The sequence below is a fragment of the Homo sapiens genome, chromosome 2 (genome assembly GCF_000001405.40).
Source record: "Homo sapiens chromosome 2, GRCh38.p14 Primary Assembly".
Taxonomy (NCBI): domain Eukaryota; kingdom Metazoa; phylum Chordata; class Mammalia; order Primates; family Hominidae; genus Homo; species Homo sapiens.
In genome coordinates this window covers 137,820,591-137,842,384 of record NC_000002.12, presented here as the reverse complement: position 1 = coordinate 137,842,384, position 21,794 = coordinate 137,820,591, and the positions used below count along the sequence as shown (strand labels likewise).

Sequence of the window (21,794 nt, the reverse complement as noted above, 5' to 3'; positions counted from 1 at the left end):
GCTTTTAATATCCTCATGCCAAAGTCCCTGGTATGTAATGAACACTAAGCTCAAGCAAAACTGTGAGCTGTGATCTTGTTGCTGATACTAGGTTTTCCAGTCCTCATCTAGTCCTCCCAATCCTGAGGTTTGCAGCAATCAGGAGTAGAGCTGAGACCACAATAAAAACCTAGTGACCCTTCTCAATGCTGCCATCTAAGTGAGAGACCCAAGCAGAACTGGTCATGGCCAAATGTTTTCTGTTTGTTCCAGGAAGGTCTGGTAGACCTGGGAGACAGGGTTCTGTTTTCTGATTCTACTGAGGCAATTAAAAAGACCATCAGGGCCAAAGTAAAACTTTGCTTTTGGTGTCTTTTTAATATTTGTAATGTGCAAAATAGCATTTTACTGTTTAGTTTCTATATTCAAGGCATTAATGCATTATAACCATGAACATTACATAAAATCCTAAAATGAAATATTCATTCAAACATATTAGATGTATTAGTCCATTTTCACCCTGCTGATAAAGACATACCCAAGACTGAGCAATTTACAAAAGAAAGAGGTTTAATTGGACTTACAGGTCCACGTGGTTGGGAAAGCCTCACAACCATGGCAGAAGGCAAGGAGGAGCAAGTCACATCTTGTGTGGATGGTGGGACAGAAAATGAGAGAGCTTGTGCAGGGGAACACCTCTCTTAAAAACCATCACATCTCATCAGACTTATTCACTATCATGAGAACAGCATGGGAAAGACTTGCCCCCATGATTCAATTACCTCCCAGCAGGTCCCTCCCACAACACGTGGGAACTCAAGATGAGATTTGGGTGGGGACACAGCCAAACCATATCATTAGATGTCACAAATTCAAAAAATTTTACAATAGTTGTAAAAATTACCTTCTTTAATGAACATATTCATAAGTAAAGTTACTGAAAAAAGACTATAGGGAACACATAGATTTAGCCTACCTAAAAGCATAGATTAAAAAAATAATTTAAGTAAATTGTTTTGGGGTAGCTCATAAGCAATGAACTTTTAAACTCATTATTTCAGGACTTCCACCTGACAATAACCTTTAGTATAATAAGATTGTTTCAAAGACGTTTTTATTTTATTGCCAAATGTTTACTTATTTTTAGGGCAAAATAGGTCTTATGACTTGATGGCTTGTGTGTGTGTGTGTGTGTGTGTGTGTGTGTGTGGTAGCGGTACATATATATGTCTCCAACCACCATTAGGAAACAGGTCAAAATGACCATATTTCCACGTATATTCTTATACAGTATGGAAATACTCACCTAGGTAGGTACATGGGTATGCATGTTCAAGAAAATGAAGAATAGAAAGAATTAAGGAAAGATTATCTTCCTCCTTTTGTAATTTTTATTATTTTACTTTTTGTTTCAATCGCTTTTGGGGAACAGGTGGTTTTTGATTACATGGATAAATTCTTTAGTGGTGATTTAGTGGTGATCATGGGGTGCACCTGTCACCGAGCAGTGTACACCCCCTCCCACCCTCCCCCACAAGACCCCATAGTCCATTATATCATTCTTATGCCTTTGCATCCTCATAGCTTAGCTCCACTTATAAGTGAGAACATACAATTTCTATTCCTGAGGTACTTCACTTAGAATAACAGCCTCCAACCCCATCTAAGTTGCTGCAAATGTTGTTTCATTCCTTTTTATGGCTATGTCTTTCTCTTCAACATTCTCTACAAATGCACTTGCACCTAAAGGTATATGATTGGGCAAATTCTGTACCTATCATAGGCTGTAACTTGGTCTCTAATTTCACACATGAAATCTTTTTTCATTCACTTGGAGTTAATTCAGTGAGGATAGACACTGTCCTTCCCTTGTTCCCCAAGCATCAGCAAAGTGTTTAGTTAATCTCCCATTAAATATTGAATAGAAAAACCTTCATTTTCAGAAACTCTTCTTTATGAGGTCCTAATATATGCCATGTGCTCTGCTAAGTGCTCTTTGGAGACTCTTTTATTTAAGCCTTGCAACAATACTAGGAGGAAGGTATTTCACCCATTTTAATAATGAAGAAACTGAGCTTAGTAATATACTCAAGTTCTTAGATCTAGGAATAAATCTGGGATTTAAATTAAAATCTGTCTAAATCTATGTTCCTATCTACTGTTAAGTGTGGCTTCCAAAAAAGTGTGGGCAGAATCTAAGGGTGGGTGTGTCCTCATGCTTACAAGACTCTCTGCAGTCTGTGAAGATGGAGAGGCAGCGAGAAGGGAAAGAATGATCTCTGGGTGGAACTTGCCTCTCCCATCGCCACCATGGCCCAGCAAGAAACACTTCAGTCCAGATTTCCCTTCTCTTGAGTATTGAGTATGCAGAATAATGCCCCACCCACACCACGAAAGATGTCCAAGCCTCAATCCCTGGGACCTGTGAATATCTTATGTTCCATGGCAAAGGGGAATTAAGGTCACAGATGGAATTAGGGTTGTTAATCAGCTACCCTTAAAATAGGCAGATGGGACTTTATCCTGGATTACTGTAAGTGGTCTCAATATAACCAGCAAGGGTTTTTCAGTGGAGAAGAGAAAGACAAAAGAGAGCAAACCAGAAAGATAGCAATGTGAGTAGGACTGGAGCCATGTTGCTGGTTTTGAAGATAGAAGAAGGGGCCCTAAGCCAAAGAATGCAGACAACCTCCAGAGGCCGGAAGAGGTGAGGGAACAGACGCTCCCCTAGAGCCTCCAGAAGACACCAGCATGCCGACACCTTGGTTTTCGGCCCGTGAAACCTATTTTAAATTTCTGACCTCCAGAACAGTAAGATAATAAAAGTGCGTTGTTTTAAGCCACTAAATTTGTGGTAATTTGTTACAACAGCCACATTAGATGATTAATACTAGCACTGGTTGGTGTCTTGCAGCTTCAGAATGTATATTTTATAATGGGGCGGTGAGACCTCCTTCCGCTCAACTTGTACACAGAGGCACTCAGCACACATCCCTCAATGGGTGATCTCATTCCAGCACGTGCGCTGGGCAATCAGTACCAGAGGCAGTTCTGCCATGGCTTAGTGCATACGTCATCTTTGGTGGGACAAAAATTGTGTATGCAGATCTAAAAACATGATCAAAAGCAAGTCTATCCTAACATTTCTGTCAATTTACCAGGGGTATCCAATCTTTTGGCTTCCCTGGGTTACATTGGAAGAATTGTCTTGGGCCACACATAAAATATACTAACACTAACGATAGCTAATGAGCTTAAAAAATTGCAAAAATACTTACAATGTTTTAAGAAACTTTATGAATTTGGCCACATTGAGAGCTGTCCTAAGCCGCATATGGCCTGTGGGCCACAGGTTGGACAAGCTTTATTTAGATCATGCCGAAGGAGCACAGTTCCATGAGGAGGGAGGATGGGGAGCATGTGGTGTGTTTGCATACAATTTTAATTTCTGGATGTTTCAAGTCATATTCTGAGCACTGAAGGTAGGCCTAACTCACTTATCTGCTACACAAAATATGACCAAGTGGGGTACACATATGTAGGAGAGGTGTACAGGAGAAGCGGTGCGTGCATATATGGAAGCAAAGGAATGAAGTTGATGTAGATTTTTATAGAATCACAATGTTTAGAAGCAATATTTAAATATCAATTAATTACCAATACCCCCCCCAAAAAAAGAATGAAGACACCAGAAAAGGTATTATTTGTAATTAACTATGTAGCCACTAGATGGCAGTACAGTGTAAGCAAAAGGAAAATCTATTCCCTCAGCCCAAGCTTCTCTGGCTGCTGTTAAAGGATGTTTTACCGCTGTTTCAGGAGAAAAGGAGGAAATTCAGTCATGTTAAGGCAGTCAACTTAGAGGGCCAGGACTGTTCTAGATGGACTCCCGGGCTAGAAAGAGCATGGACTCTATGTGTCTCAGCTCCTCTAATTCCTATCTATGAGATCCTGGCAAGTTGCTTAACATCACAAGGCCTCAGTGTTCACATTTATATAATGGGTGTGAATGTTATTTTTCTTACAAGGGAAAGAAAAATGAAGTAAAACGGAGTAATATTATTAAAATACTTAAGATTTAATAAGCAGTCGATTATTAATAGCTCTGTGTCTCCTTTGGGTAGGGAAAAATAATACAATTTAGATTTTAGGTCCTAAACTAATCTCCAGGTATGGTTGTGAGGAAATTATGGGTCTTGAAAAGTAAAGAGAGAAGATTTATTCTTTACTCTGCTTCAATGTGGCTAAAGCTTCCCTGCAAAGTGTCACAATAACCTTCTCTTCATGTTCTCAAATGCAGTTGCTCCCCTCCCCATCTCTCCTTGACACGTGAAGTTCCTCTCCTATGAGGAGCATTGCCAAGTTTCGAGAGGTCTGCAATGTTGGACTAACAGTCATGGCCTTCGCACAGGCAGGAGGTCACAGCAGGGACTCCAGTGCTCACCACTTCCCTCTTCCTACATCTGCCTTTAGTTTATGAATGCATGAGAATTTCATAGTGAGTTAATGGAAGCCCTCCCAAAATATGTCCACATAGAACCCGTGAATGTGACCTAATTTAGAAAAGAAAACAAAAGGTATTTGAAGACGTAATGAAGTTAAGAATCCTGAGATGAGCTCATCCTGTATTATCCAGGTGAGTTCTAAATCCAATGGCCAGTGTCCTTAGAAAGGCACAGGGAGATGTGTGACAGAGAGGATTCGGCCATATGAAGACAGGGGCAGAGATTGCAGTGGCGTGATCACAAACCCAGGAACACCCGAGCCGCCAGAAGCCTGAAGAGGCAGGGAAGGATTCCCCTCTAGAGCTTCTGGGAGGTGCGTGGTTCTGCCAACACCCTAATTTCAGAATCCTGTATGCCACAACTCTAAGTAAATATTATAAATTCTTATCATGCTAAGCTACCAAATTTGTGGCCTTTTGAAATGGTAACTCTAGGAAACTAGTACAGGTTTATATCAAGAAAATTCCTGTCCCCATGTATTTTTCCAGTGTGCTAGAAATTCCATGATTAGCAAATTTATTCCTTTGGTTTAAATTGCAGATTCTTTTAAAATAAAATACATGAGATCCTGGGAAAGGTGTCCTATTTTAGAGAATGAATGTTCACACCACAGCCTCTGTGAATGGATGGCTCATATCTACAGAAAAGCACTGGATACTAGGAAGGAAACAATTCTAAAGGGTTGTAGGGTTGTAGGGCACTGGCTCTAGCAGACCAGCTTGCCTTGCTGCAAGACAACTTGTCTGGCGTTTGACCCAGAGGTTCCTCATTACTTCAATGGTCTTCAATGAAAGAAGCCAAAGTTTGGAGAAACCCCAAAGAGTATTGCCTTTAGACCCATCTAAGACCCCACACTGGACTAATTTCTGGAGGCCCCTTGCCATCGAGGATGTGCCCATGGGGCCAGTGGAACATGTCCCCAGAATTAGCATCTTCCCCTCCCAGCCAGTGATACAGGTGGTGCCCAGATCCCAGAATTATTCACCCACATGGCCTCCCAGCCCTTCCCCAAGTCCCCTACAGGCTTTTTCTCTAGACCTGCCCTCTCTGGGGTGGCTAGCATTATACTGTGCACACTCCTAGGCTGGGGGTGGTGAATGTGTGAGGCCCTTCGCAGGAGAGAATGGAGCCGACAGGTGGCTTGCTGGGCTCCAGGACCCTTCTCTTCTGGCACCTCCAGGTTCTGGCTGAGGAATTTGATCATTCTGAACTGAAATGTAGCCTCTCTGGTCTTTTTTGTATATTTGTCAAGGTAGGAGGATTAAACATATTTAATTAAATGATTAGTTAACTTGGCTTATAAATTAAAATATTTAGACAAGTGGAATGTGGGCCTTACATTTGCATCCTTTCCTTGGGACCAGCCAAACATGAGGTGGCCCTGCCTCTGAGATAGGCAACGCTGTAGGAGCACTCTGCAAGTTGGAGTAGTGTGTGAACGGCAGTCCATAAAAGGCAGGACATAAAAGCAGAATCTCAGTGCTGGAGGTGCCCACAAGGAAAAAAAAAAAAAAAACCCACAAAAGGAATTGGTAGTAAAACCCAAGCATCACACCAACACCAAGCACGGAAATGACTACATCACAGACAGCAGACACCAGGTCCCCCATCTCCTGGCTATTCGACTTTAGAAAAGAAGCTTAAAGTCTTGAACTGAAATTCTTAAAATATAAAATCAGGATGATTAAATATATGTCAAAGAGTTATTATGGGAATTCAGAAAGCAGTAAATCAAAGTCATTACTTTAAAACAAGGACACATACTTCAGATACTAAATGCAGCGTAAATTGTAACTATCCTTGTTACAGCTATTGACAATGTATCACATGGAATTGCTGGGACTGGGGAGAGTGAGTCTTGGGATGAGAAGCAACATTGAGATGGACACCTCCCTCAAAAGCATCAGATGTCTCAGTAAGAGAGGCAAGCTCTGATCTCCCAAATTGAGTTTTGTATGGACATATACCTACTTATGGGTGGAAATATAATAATGAAGCACAACTAGTTGGGAACAGCTGTTTTAAACATTCTAAGAAAAGATTGCTTGTCTGGTCTGCCCACTTAAGGGCTCCAGAGTTGTAAATGTGAGTCTTACATGTGATTTTTAGTTTGGGTTGGCTCAGACCAGACATCTCTCTAACATGGTACATGGAGAGTTATTATTATTAATTTTTCATAATAGAGTACTTCGAGAAAACAAATGAACCATTTCAAAATGAAAATTATATGCAGATTATTAAAACAGCAATGTGAGAATGACTGCATAATAAACTAAAAGGTCTAAATGGCACACTCTGTGTTAAATTTCGTTCTGTCTTTACTAATATCTTGGCTAATTGGGAATGGTCTTGTTTTGCTTTAACTCAGAATGTCTTATTTCTTCCTCTGAACAGAACTTGTTAGTTTCCTTATGAGACAGATAACTCTCTGGGCCCTTCCCAGGTGGCTGGGAAGATTGCTTCCTGGTATCACGATCTTCATTGTAATTACAGAGAATTTTCCCTCTCTATAGCTATAGCCCCTGAGAGTTTAGACGTTAATTAATAAAGTCCTTACCAGGTATTTCTAAGAAGGGGCTCTTTTTCGCCTGCAGCCTGCGAGCACCCAGCCTGCTGGTTATGAGTTACGAATGGACCCGGAAAGGCACGTGGCTCTGCTTTCCTGGGTCAGTCCCCTTGTCTTGCCTTGGCCTCATGTACTTGCTCTGTGTTCTGCCCAGTCAACTTTGTGTTCTTCTCAAAGCTGTGGCAGTGAGTAGATTTTTATGATCCATAGCTTTTTCCCCCTTGGTCATTCAAAGAACTTTCCAACTAGGTCATAGCTAAATATTGATTCTCCATTAAGCAGAAACATAAATACCATTTTATTTCCTGTGTAACACCATTAAACATCCTCCTTGGCTACAGAGGTCCAAGTTTTATGATTTTTACTATTTCTCACCCAGTGATCTCTTAGCTGGTGAAGCACCCAGGACACTGCCTGGTGAGAAAAAGAGGAGAGAATCTCTGGCAATATATTACAAGGCAAGAATACTATAACTTAATGGTGATTGAGAAATTCAAGTCTATTTTTTTCAGGCAACATCCAGTAACATCTTTCTTGGTATCAAGCTTGCTATCAAGCTTGCTATCAAGTTTATCAATAGCTTGAATAAAAATACTGATGAATGTAGAAAACTGAAAAAGGTAGGTAATATACTGAAAGTCAGAGTTGGGAGACAAAACATCTTTACATTGGAATGATGAGCAGAAGCCAACACTGTTAAATGTAGCATAGATGAAAGTAGATTCTGCTCCAAACGTGGAAACCTGCCGTCCAGGTGCAGCATGGGAAGATGTGTGCTAACACTGGACTTATTTCAGGGGTCACTCTCCACAGCAACTTCAGAGGCTGGCATGGCCTCAAGGCACTGCACACTCCAGCCTTTACCTTCCTGTCCAGCCTCACATCTAGTGACATTTTCTGCCAACCTGCTCCTTTCACACAGGTAATGGGGAGGAACATTTTAGCTCAGTATAAGGAAGAATTTTCTAATAGAGTTGCCCGAAAATAGAATGAACTTTCCTCAGAAACAGAAGCAGCCAATCCCCACCAGCAATTGAGGAGTTCTAGCCAAGGCTTAATAACCTTTTGTAAGGTAATTGGAAAGAAGATTGAAACAGTGTAACTAAGAAAATGGGCTTTGGGAAAAAAAGACTTAAGTTCAAAGACTTTCTCTAAATAGATACATTATTTTGAGCTGAGTGGTGGTTTCTGAAGCTGGATAGCCTGGTTTTCAATCTAGTCTGCACTTACTAGCTGTGTGACCTTGGCATGGCATTGAATGTCTCCTGGCCTCAATGATCTCATCTACAAAATGTGGACAAAAATACTGTCTGTCTTGTAAGTACTATTATCAGCATTGTGTGAGGATCAAACAAGTCAACAAACATAAAACTCAGAACATTACCTTACATATAGTAAGCACCTAATTAATGGTAACAATTTTGTTTATTTGTTTTTGAGATAAGAGTCTAGCTCTGTGACCCAGGCTGGAGTGGTGCAATCTCAGCTCACTGCAACCTCTGCCTCCTGGGTTGAAGTGATTCTCCTGCCTCAGCCTCCTGAGTAGCTGAAATTGCAGGCATATGCCACCATGCCCAGCTAATTTTTGTATTTTTAGTAGAGATGAAGCTTCACCATGTTGGCCAGGCTGGTCTCAAACTCCTGACCTGAGGTGATCCACCCACCTAAGCCTCCCAAAGTATCGGGATTACAGGCGTGAGCCACCATGCCCAGTCAAATGTTAACAATTATTATTAAACTATCTCAACATATGTTTCCTCTACAGTAAAGATAATATGTACCTTATGGATTTCCTTTAAAAAAATAAAATATGTATTGTATTTAATATGGCGCTTGACATACTAAACAAGTATGTTTATTAATTTGATGAAATGTTTTGAGCTACATAATATCTAAAATATTAGACACTATAAGAATAAACCTGAGATTCTGTGATCCAATGACTGAGCAACAGCAGGTTACCAAGAAATTTTCCCAGCATGCTCCTTTGAGGCAGATACCTATAGCTTGTGTATTGAAACAAAATGTTCCTTTTAATTTAACAAATTAATGATTTGAAAGAGAGAAGGATAGAGAGGAAGGAAGTGTAATAGAAGTAAGGGAGGAGGCAGGGAGGAATAGTGAGCGAGAGAGAGAGAGAGAGAGAGAGAGAGAGAAAATGAAAACTTGAAGCTTGTATATTTCTTTCCCACTATTCCATGAAACTACACATGGACAATTAGGTAAAAAAAGAGAGATAAAAAAGAAAACTGTAATGGCATCATCATCTTTCTGATATGCAACTTATTTGTTAATCTTCATTATCATTGTATTTGATTGGGTTTTGAAAATATGCATTTTTCAGGTTGAAGAACAGAAGTTGACTCAAAATTTCTATGTAATTTTTCAGCTATATTCTAAAAACTATGAATTCCTCTCAGCCTAATCACCTACACTGAAGTGTCAGTCTCCAGACACAAATGAATTACTTTTTGTGTGAAAAATATTTTTAGTTAATATTTCTTGACATTGTGGATTCAAATATATTTCTGCTGTTATGCATCATTTAACTTCTGTCTTCTATTTTGGGATTAAAATGTTGGAACAGAGACTCTTATTCTCAAGTTTCCTAACTCTTATGAATTAAAATTGAGCTCTTCCTCCAATTGCTTTTATTTTAGTTTCTAATAGAGTAATTCATTTGTACCTTGATTTAATAAACCCTAACCTGTCTGCATGCCATGGGCCCTACAGGAGATATAATGGAAGCATAAATTTTGTCCAAGTTTTCCAGGTTATTATGCTCTAGTTGGGGTGGAGGAAGAAGGAAGAATTAAGAAGGGTGTCTACAAAGTAGTTAAGATTCTTATTGGTTATTTACAAGATAGGCACCATCACACTTTATGGCTCAGAGATAACTCTGGACTGATGGTGGGAGGGGGGTTCTCATTCTAAAGAGATGCTGATTGAAGGCAATAGCAAATGCTGGCTCCTGGCCTTTGTGTGCCATGACAGTGGGGAAAATAACTGCAGATTATCTTTCTTCAACTACAGAATGATCATAATGATGCCTCCCTCTCCAGGTGGTTGTAGGAACTAAAGACAATGCATAAAGAACACCTGTCCTATTGAAAATAGTCAATAACTGTGACTTTGTCATGTTTATCCTTGATATGCAATGTGGTGAGGGCCTAAAGGGATGGGTGGAATTTAGAGACACACAGGACTTGAAATCCATGTATGACATGTTGAGGGGAAAAGGAGTAAATAACAGGAGTAGAAGCTCCACACTGACAGTGGTGATTGTTGGGAAAATTTGGAAAATATATGAGCAGCCCAGAAGGGAGGGATCAGAATCCCAAACTAGTGTACTCTTTAAAATTTATGAGCAAGGGTGGATCTTTCTTGTTGTTGTTGTTGTTCTTGGGAGCTTGCAGACTTACATAATTTGGGGCACCATCATAAAACTTTTGTTACAAAATTAGGTACAAAAATAAACATTATTGGCCAGGCACAGTGGCTCATGCCTGTAATCTTAGCATTTTGGGAGGCTGAGGCAGGTGGATCACTTGAGGTCAGAAGTTTGAGACCAGTCTGGCCAACATGGGGAAACCCCATCTCTAAATTAGCTGGGAGTGGTGGTAGGCACCTGTAATCCCAGCTACTCAGGAGGCTGAGGTGGGAGAATCGCTTGAACCCAGGAGGCAGAGGTTGCAGTGAGCCAAGATTGCACCATTGCACTCCAGCCTGGGTAACAGGAGCGAAACTCCATCTCAAAAAATAAAAATAAAAATAAAATAAAAATAAACACATTATTTTATGTAAGGAAATAAGCCATAACATGCTAAAATTTTTTTCAAAGCTGACAGGTTTCAAAAACATCACAAAATTCAGGAAAATAGCATAATGGCACAACGTGGCTGCAAGTCAAAAAAGGACATATGGCACCAAACTGGATTGTAATATGTGCTCAGCTAAAATTCCTGTTACATGAATCTAAAATATCCGCACTATGACATCACCTTCTGACATGAGGGGGTGTGTACGTAGGGCAAACCAAAGCAGAAAGGCATGGAGGTATGAATTTATTTAGGTTAAATGTCTTACTTTTATTTATTTTACAATAACATATGACCATGAAAACATAATGCCAGGGCCCTGCCAGTGGGTGCCCTCAACCTTATGCCGCGTTAGCTTCGTGGCAAATCCACTTCTGCACATGGACGATGGGAAAATCATTGCAGTGAGGCATCAGAACTGTTGCTTTAAGAAGATAGAATATAGTTTTGCAATGGCTAGAAACCCAATGAATGTGGAGAGACCACTATTTAGACACCACAAAAGTGAGAGGCATTGGAGGGAGTATCACCACTTATTAGATGACCAGCACAATATGGACAATGACAGAGAAGGAGAAGCCCAAATTCATGGGGATGTGGAGTTCATGTGACCAAGAGAATATACAGCAGAGGCTTTAGCAAGAAAACAGCTACTGTCTGGAAGAAAGTGTGTCCACATCATTTTGCCCATGGACGTCAGGAGGTAAGCACATTAAACAGGTAGGGAGGAGGAAAATGCCCCCTTTCCAGCCTGATTGACCACATCACACGTGGAAATAGAATGAATACCAATCCCAGTGTTTATGACAGAAAACACGAACAGATTGAGATCCTCCTATGGCAACAAGATAGCCAGAGTCTAGGGATACCCAAGTTAACCTAGACCAGTTTTTAGGTAAATACACTCATAGCAAATAGAAGGGAAATTATTATTCATTATTGTGGGGGTTCTCTGCAAGTCCTGCAGTAATCTGAGACCTAGCATGTACAGCACTCATTTTGCTCAAGTGAGAAGCCCTTTCCTTACATCTAATTCTGAATCCCCAAGATGGGGGAATGGAAGCAGCCAGACAGCAAGTGAGAAAGTGTTGTCCACAGTGTCTCTGCCAAACCAGCCTGCCCAGGAGCCTGGACACTAGACTCACCAGCTCCCACGTGAGATGCACAGTTTCAGGAGGAACTGGCCAAACCCAGGTAATAGAAGCCAGATCCAGGGTAATTGGCCAGTCCAAGGTAAGGGCTTCCAAATTCAATTTAACTGGCCAATCCCAGGTAAGATGACCAGTCTAGACGCAGAAAGGAGAAGCAGGAAGGAGGTGCACATCTGTATTTTCTGTCTTCAGTGGGCAAGAGGACACAACCCACTGTCTTCCTTGATGTCAACTAAACTAGAGAATGATCCCAACTCTTTGGCAGCAAATTTACTTTCTCACTTAATCATCACAGTCTCTAACAGGCAAGTATTTTTATTTCACTTCATGGACAAGCCAATAGGCTCCAAGTTGAGTTACTTTTGCAGAGACTATGTGACTATACAGGCAGCACCAAGCTAATAAATAATGAATGTATTGTAAATAGATTAACTATGTTAGGCCATTTAATTATCACTGCAGCCCTGTAAGGTAAGTGCTGTTATTACTATCCCCATTTCACAGCTGAGACAACTGAGGCACAGGTAAATTTGGAAGCTTGTCTGAGGTCACACAGCTTATAGGAGATGAGGCTGGGATTTGAACCAAGGCAGTTAGGTTCCAGAATATATTATTTCACCATATACTGTTCTGCCCCTCCAAGATGTCAAATTATGACTTTCTAATTCAGCCATCCTCCTCAGCTCATTCCACCACTCTGAGCTGAATTCACAGACAGATCCTTCTTCACACAAATACAGAGAGGATCACTTCATCCAAAGTGCCAATAGAAGTATTAGGTTGGTGGAAAAGTAATTGCACCATTTAATTGTCATTAAAAGCAATGGAGAAAACCACAATTACTTTTGCACCAACTAATAGAAGAAAACACAAAGGAGGGAAGGTAATGAGTCTGTTTATGGAAATGCGAAGTGGAGATTTGTGAGTGCCCCTGAGGAGAAGGAGCCTTCAGGGATTTCTCCTAGAAATGCAGATTTGAGAGTCAGCAGCAGGCAGTAATAGGCAGGACAATGAGATAGGAGCTGCTCGTGTGTAATTATGTAATTAAAATAATGATACCTTAGAGTTGCTTAGTACTTTATAATTTTCAAAACACTTATATATTATTATATTTAATCACCTATAATATTTTTAAATTTAAGTGATATTAAACCTGCTGCATATTATAAAAATGTTTTAATATGTTTCTATTCTAGAGATAAAAGAACAAGATGACAGAGAAAATTGTAAAGGAGAGAATATAATTTCTTATCTTGCCCTCATAGGCTCTTAGTTGAGACATTTTCCTGAAAACAAAAGTCAGATTAACAAGAGAAAAACTAGGAGAAGTTTATTAACGTGTACTGTACCCATCACGCAGAAGAGGCCTCAGTTCAAAATATTTCTCTCTCAAGGCAGTGGCTTAGGGGATTTAATTAAATAGCATTTTGTCAAAGAGCCATAAATCCTATATAGTAACAAGATAAAGAAGATAATATCTTCAGGCTTCCTAAAGGCGGGAAAACATGGGAATGTAAATTTATGGCAAGAGTAAAGTCTGCTCCTACATGCTCTGGTGCTACTGTCTCTGAGCTGATAAGCAAGCATTGGAAAGCAGCCTATCTTTAGGTGGGAAAGGCGGAGGAGGGAAGGTCAACTTTTGTCTTTGTAAATTGCTGTCCTGCCATCATGCAGGCAGAGGGAGGGGCAGGATGCCTCCTGTATTCTTCAGCTCAATAATCCTCAGTATTCTGGAGAGGAATATTTTGGCTTCCTTTGAAGGCCAGGCAACTTGCATTTGTTGAACTCATGTTATATGCCAAGAAATGTACAAGATGTTTATGCCATTATCTTACTTAATCCAGCAACAAATTTATGAGAGCGAACCATATTCTCACTTTACAGATAAGGAAACTAAGGCTCAGAAAGCTTATGTAACTTGGCCAACATCACACAACTAGCAAGTATTCAGGCCATGTTCTCCCAGATCTGTCTCACTGGGGAGCTCATTCCGTTACACAACACTATAACAAGCTTCTTTTGCAAAGTCTTCCCAGCTGTGCTAGGTCCTTATGTATCAACCAGTAGATGACACCACCCAAATACATATTTCCAGTGTTGTTGTATAATAATATTCATTAGAGTTTTGTTATCTCTGGACACAGATCACTCACATTCACACAAAATGAGTACAGTGAAGACCGGAAAATTGGTGTCAATGCATCTCCCATGGCTACCAGATTCCCTCCTCCTGCTTCCAGTCCAGTTCAAATGGTTGTGATTACCCTCCACCCAAACATCCTTTGTTCTAGAATCAAGCTATATCTCTATCAATGCTGCTATTTATCATTCACCAAAACTTGCTGGATTAACAGATACCATCTGCCTCCTCAATTCTTCTGGTATTCTTCACCACCTGCCTCCAGGGACTTCTGTTAGCCTTTAGAACTTACAGATTTGAACTCTGACACCTGCTGCATCTCCTTTAAGCGTCATTCCCAGCTGACTAAGCCTAACAGTTGATCACTTTTGCGAAGAGATTAAGGGGTCAGGAAGGCCATTCCAGCAAGTATGACACCATGCCACATCCAAACGGAAAAAGCCCACCAGGCCAACTTGAATAAATATGTTTGTTGGATCCAGACTTCCTTAAGCCAACTCAAGACCGCACATTCAAAGATAATCTTCAAGAATCTAGGACAGGGGAGGCAAGTGTAGTAGACCGGTGGTTCCCAAACTTTGCTGCATATTAGAATCACCTGGGCAGCTTTCCAAACTTCCCATGCCCATCTCATCCTAGTTTAATCAGAGTGTCTGGGAGTGGAAATGAGGCAGCCATATTTTTCAAAGGTCCCCAGTTGATCTCAATATGCAGCGAAGTTTGGGAACCACTGATATATACAGCATTGCTTTCAGTTCTTCCAACTCTTATTTGAAGGACCAGTGTCTCTCCACACACAACCCACTCCCCACAAGGGGAGGGCAGTAACTGAGGCTCCCCTGCCTGGTCTCCCATCCTCCTCTTGGTACCTGGACTCCATCATTGGGAATCTTGGCAAACAGCTCTTCAATAAAATGGTGAAGGCAGAAAAATGTGGGCTCTTAAGGAGAGAGCAAGTCGGGGAGGCTGTAGAAGCCATAAATTCAGCAACATAAGAGATGAGAAATTTGAGGCTTTGGGGCTGAGCTGGCAAAAGCAGTTATTCAAATCAAGCTCAGTTCCTCCCCAGAACCAGACCCCTTTTGGGGCCTCCAGGATGACCTCACTTCCACTTTGCTCCAGCTAATGGGGTAACGTAGAATTCCTCTCAGGAAAAATGCTGAGCTTTTCAACCAAAGCTCACAAGCAATGGCCCTTCTCAAAGGAATTAATGAATAGGAACAGTAAGGAATGACTAAGAGGGTCTTCTTGTGGAGACAAATGATTGGTGAGTGTTGTTTGCAATCATTCTTTTTCATTGGTTCCAGCAGCTGCCTCTCTGTGGTTAGGTAGGGTTAACCCTAAACCTCTATGTACTGTGCCTCAAATCAAGTAGCAAAGGCCTGACTCATAATGAAAAAGGCCCTTGTAATTGACACTGGGATCTCCTCTTGTTTAGCACCGACTCAGACTCCTGTTCTTCACCAGCATCCTCTCTTCTCCTTCTTACCAAATATGTGGGTCTACTTGGCTTCTCTGCTATTTTGAAGGAAAATACATCAGGAAAAAAGGGGAGAGGGAGTTAAGCAACTCCCAGAGAAACACTGGTCCTGACCTTTAAGGCTTTGGTTCACTTGTCAAAAGAGTCCAGCAGTCAGTCCCCAGAGCCACAGAAACTAAAGTGTGGTCATTGCAGCACAACTACGCTGACCCTTGCTGGACTCCAGCTCCTTGGCTTTTTAAAAAATGAGTCGGCAACAAAGGAAGATCCCTAAGCCAGGTTATCCCATTAACCACTGGATAGCAAGAGGGAAAATAATAACATTTAGTCATTTGTCAACATGCTATCATCTGGTCAGTGCAGGTGCCATTCTCCTGAAACTGTGGCACAATGAAGGATATATATACTTGGATTGGACTCACTGGGTTGTATCACAGCTCTGCTACTTACGATCTGAGTGACTTTTGGCTGTTAAAAGATAAAGAGTTTATTTGAGCAGATAGTAATTCATGAATCAGACAGCTTAAAACTAGAAATGGTTCATAGCACTAAAAAGGGACATGAGGGGAAGTTTTATAGGGTGAATGTAAGAGCAAATAAAATAAATTATCTGATTGGCTAAAGTGTGAGCAAATGCCTTATTTAGAATATCTTAACAGGAAGTTCAAGACAATATTACCTAATGCCCACTAGCCTGCCTGTGATTGGCTGAGATTAAGTTTTGTTTTCTTTTAAGTTCTGTACCAGGTTTTGGCTTGCTTACTCTAGAACCCAGGGTGTCAGAGCCATCTCAGGCAAATTTTCTGCCATTTAATTATTTTAGCTGGGCATTGCTTCTCTGTGCATCAGCTTCTCTCTGTGAAATGGGGTAATAAACTTGCTGTGATGATTATATGATTAATTCATGTAAAGTACTTAAAACAGTTCCTAACACATAATAAGCATGTTTTACTTGTTTGTCATTATTATCCCAAAGTTCCCCATAACCTTCTAGTTGTTATCCCCTTTGGCAACAATTTACATTGTGGATTATGCATTTTTCTCAGAACTTGTTTCTTGTTTTTCATAACACACATCCTGTCTTCCCTAATTTCTCCCATTCTCCATATTCTTACTCCTTCCCCTTTCCCACTACTCACTCAAATTGGTCTGTCTCAACATTTTCTTCAGGGCTGCCTTTTTTTTTTATATGTCTGTGTTCCCTTTGAACAATTTTGTTTTCTTCCTGTGGCTCCTTCTCCCATGACTAGGTGGATAAACCAAAGCCTCTGTGGCTGCTCTCAGAAAGACCTTTTGGTTGGAATTTGCTCACTGACTCAGTGGTTGATCAGCTTTGCATCAGAAGACTATCTTCATTTGGATTTTGCCACTTACTAGCGAATGGTATAATTAGCTATTTTTAATATCGCTAAGTCATAGTTGTTCTCCCAGTAAAACGGGGATAATAATAATAGTTTCCACTTCAAAGAGTAATTATAAGACTTAAATGGGCCGAGTGCGATGGCTCATACCTGTAATTCCAGCACTTTGGGAGGCCGAGGCAGAAGAATTGCTTGAGCCCAGGAGTTGGAGACCAGCCTGGGTGACATGGCGAGACCCCATCTCTAAAGAAAAATCGAAAGAAATTCGCTGAGTGTGGTGCATGCCTGTAGTCCCATCTACTTGGGAGGTTGCAGCAGGAAGATAGCTTAAGCCCAATAGTTGGAGGCTGCAGTGAGCTGGGATCGTGCCACTGTACTCCAGCCTGGGTGACAGAGTGAGACCCTGTCTCAAAAAAGAAAAAAAGAAAAGAGTAGGCCTGAGGCAAAAAACTACACAAAATATGTTTAGCTATTCTATTTGACCTCTCCAATCCAAAATGTCTAAAATCCAGACTTACTGCCTTCTTTCCACCCAGACTAGCTCTTCTAAATTTCTTAGCACTGCTAATGGTACTGGCACATTTTTTAGTTACCTGTTTTCGTGGTTGAGTCATCCTGACTCTATTATCCTTTTCACTCCTCATCTGAACATTGAATGGGTCAGGATAATCTTGACCTTTGTTATGCAGGTTCTTGCTAAATTGAACTTTGAATGTTGTTAATCTTTTCAGTATGCCTTAAGCCCTGCCCTCCTTTTTTCTTTAAAATTCTGTTTGGCTTTAGAAATTTTTTGGAATTTGCAACTTCCATTAACCTTGTTAATTCCAATCCTTTGATGGTATAATCAGCATAATTGTCCAAAAAGTGACCCTGAAAGTTAGCTAGAACTTACAACCACTATGTCCGAGTGAGAGTTGCTGGGTCCAAATTCAGCTACCCATGTGGCCTCCTAGGGGTCATACAGTAACATCCAGGGGACCCAAGTTCTTTAAGTTCCAGCTATCTGGCTTCTCCAGACACTTCCTATGAATTCAGACACCATGTGACTAAGTAATCTGTGAATTTGCCCACTGATAGGCTAATTTATCATAGTTTTTCTGGAAAAAGTGAGAGTAACAAGGTAAAGTGTTACCAGTTGGATATGCTGCAGGCTCAGCATTGCCTTGGCCCCCATACATCTCTCTGCGGGGTGAAAGGAGCATGAGGACTCACATGACGTCTTTTTCCTTGTATATCTTTGTATCTTTGGCCTATTTAAGTTTCTCCAAAGAGCCTGTTTTTTTTTTTAATCTGTACTATGTAAAGTTGTAAATTTAATATCAAATCCTAGTGCTGTAATGCACTGTAATGGGAACTCAGAAGGGACCTACCTATCTTGCACAACAACCTTTCAGCCTGCCACGTAAAGCTCTTTATAATCCTGTGCCCAAGTTTTCTCTCCAGTGTCTTCTTCCATTAGTCCCTCTCCCCTTAACTTTTATTCTTTTAAATCACTACCTCGTGATTTGTTGCCTCTGCTCTTAATAAGTTACCATCCACGCCTACCTCTTCCTGTGAAAATCCTGCCCACCTTCTGTCATCTACTCTAAAACTACCTCCTCCAAGAAAGCATCCATTAGAGACAATTCAGGTGAGATCTCTGCCCCTGGACACCCTTCTTCAGACTATCCTAATGGCACTTAGCATATCATGACTTGGATTGTGAATATTTGGACATAAATTCTTAACCCCTTTTTACTATAAAATTATTCAGGGATAAAACTGCTGTTACTCATCATTATACATCCAAATAGCACACACCACTAAGCTTGAAGTGGTCGATAAATGTGTAGTAACATAGAACTTATGTTTCATAGCATATATGAAGAAAAAGACGGTCCATTGAAATGCTTGGGGCTTTAAAAATGAACACAAAGCTTTTCTTAGATTTTAAAGGCTGCAAAAGCCAATGATTTGCTGAATGCCGGTGACAACTACAGCCTTTCTTTGCCATTCTGACTCACTGGAGATGTGTCTTCCAAGTCTGAATGGCTGGCAAGTACTCTGAAATGAGTTTTTATTTGTTGTCTTTCTTAGCGACACATTATAAATAGCCCTGATATTTTTATTGATTTTATTTGGTACTTAAATTACCCTGGAGCAATTTTTGCTGCACAGAGGGCCTCATTTTCTAGCCAGCCTGCTTATAAAAAACACCAGCTTAATCTTGTATGTGGACCACTGCCCTTCTTTCACTGCTTTACTGTCTTTTGTGTTCAAATACATCTCAAATGTGAGTGAATACTTTAGAAGAAATCTTCCTGATAAAATGTCTTTCATCTTATGTAAAATAAGCCTATGGCAATAAGGTGTAAAAGTTCTGGATGTAACATCAAAACAATGTAGATAATACACATAAGCCATATATCCTCCAATGTTTACCCTTTTTCTCCCCCAAGATGTATGGTAGCTTTAAAATAAATTTCATTTTTAAATTTATGATTATTGGAATCATTTATTGTGACCTAAACTAGAAATGAGTAAAAAGAAAAGCTGCCTATATCCATATTGTCTCACGCATCCGTGTGAAGAGACCACCAAATAGGCTTTTGCGTGAGCAACAAGGCTGTTTATTTCACCTGGGTGCAGATGGGCTGAGTCCGAAAAAGGAGTCAGTATGAATATTGACGTGTAGTCCTTTCGCAAGAGCGAGGGCTCGAGTTAAGGCAATGAGTTTGGCTTGTTGAGAGGTAGTGGAGGGGGACAGAGTGGTAGCCTCAATGATAGGTGTGGAAGATACTATAGCATAGCCTGCCTTTGCTGGTGAGGCCTAATCAGGCCTGGTAGAACTGCCATCAATAAACCAAGTGTGTTCAGGATGAGAAACAGGAAAGAAGGAAATATGGGGAAATGGAGTGAATGTCAGGTGGATCAGAGAGATACAGTCATGGGGTTCAGATGTGGGAGGCCAGATTGAAGTCCAGGCCAGGAACATGGTACTTGTGGGAAACTCAGAAAAGAGTGAGTACAGCTGAAGGAGCCAGGGGGCAGAAAGTATATGCGTCAGGTGGGAGGAAGAAAGTAGATTTTGGAAGTGATGAGAACTGTAGAGAGTGAGTTGAGCATAGTTTGTGATTTTTGAGGGCCTCTAAAAGTACTAAAGCAGCGGCAGCTGCTGCATGCAGACATGAGGGCTAGGCTAAAACAGTAAGGTCAAGTTGTTTGGACAGAAAGGCTACAGGGCGCGGTCCCGGCTCTTGTGTAAGAATTCCGACCACACACATATTCTAACAGCTAGGATTGTTTTTTATTTGTTTTTTACCAAATGCAAGCAGGCAGGAAGTAAGTAAAAATCACAGTCGTGAAAATAGTCATGAAAATGACTATTTTCATTCAGTCGTGGGGTAGGGGTCAGGGGGAGGGATAGCATTAGGAGAAATACCTAATGTAAATGACGAGTTAATGGGTGCAGCAAACCAACATGGCACATGTATACCTATGTAACAAACCTGCGCATTGTGCACATGTATCCTAGAACTTAAAGTATAATTAAAAAAAAAAAAAGAGTAACAGGAACTGAATTTATCCCCCTTCTTAAACTAAGAAACAAGACAAAATTTGTGAAGCAATGGTTTTCAGACATTGTGCAGCAGAGAGTAAGGAATAGTGACAACTGAGAGAAAGAAAACAAGCAAGATGAGACCAATGACAACCACAGCCCATTGACTGGAGAGGTATTGACTGGAGAGGTTTTTAGGCAAGATTGTAGTAAAGGTATATTAGCCAGGGTTCTCCAAAGGAACAGAACTGGTAAAAGATATTTACATCTGTATCTATCTATATATACGAGAGAAAAGGCTGAGAAGGGGAACAGGCAGATGGGGATGGGGAGAGAAGATGATTGGTTTAATTTATTATGGAAATTGGCTCATGTGATTATGAAGGCAGAGAAGTTCCATCATCTGCCATCAGCAAGCTGGGAAACAATCCAAATCTGGAGGCCTAGTAATCAGGGGGCTCTTGATGTCATAATCCAAAGAGTTGGTATAAAGTCTAAAGAGTTGGTATAGGAGGCTAAAGATCTAAGAACCAGGATCTCTGATATCTAAGGTCAGGAAAAGATTGATGTCCCAGCTCAAGAAGAGACAGTGAATATGCCCTCCTCCACCTTTTTGCTGTTTTGGACTCTCAATGGATTGAAAGATGTCGATCCATGTTAGTAAGAGTGATCTTTACTCAGTTGACCAATTCAAATGCTAATATCTTCTGGAAACAACTTCTCAGACACACCCTGAAATAATGTGATGGGTTTTTCTCTGTTCCCACATAAATCTCATCTTGAATTGCAGTTCCCATTATTTCCAAGTGAGGTAGGAGGGACGTGGTGGGAGGTAATTGTATCATGGGGTGGTTCCCCCATACTATTCTCGTGATAGTGAATAAGTTCTCACAAGATCTGATGGTCTTATGAGGGGCTTCCCTCTTCACTCGGCTCTCATTCTTTCCTTCCTATTGCCATGTGAATAAGGACATGTTTGCTTCCCTTTCTGCCTTGATTGTTAAGTTTCCTGAGGCCTCCCCAGCCATGCTGAACTGAGTCAATTAAATCTCTTTCCTGTATAAATTACCCAGCCTCAGGTGTATCTTTGTTAGCAGCATGAGCATGGACTAATACATAATGTTTAACAGCCATCTGGATATCCCTTTTCCCAGACAAGTTAACACAAAAAATTAACCATTGGATAGGAATAATCAAACTGGAGCTTGAAGTTTTCTTGAGTTGAGGAGACAAAGTTGGAGTTCAAGGAGGCCAAA

The 21,794-nt window shown here is 40.7% G+C and overlaps 1 annotated feature.

Moving 5' to 3' along the window:
- Nucleotides 15,609–15,668: an enhancer, noted in NCBI's record as "active region_16592". NCBI's record gives its function as "activates an Ori minimal core promoter by ATAC-STARR-seq in GM12878 lymphoblastoid cells {active_cell/tissue: GM12878}" and the evidence as "EXISTENCE:reporter gene assay evidence [ECO:0000049][PMID:35858748]".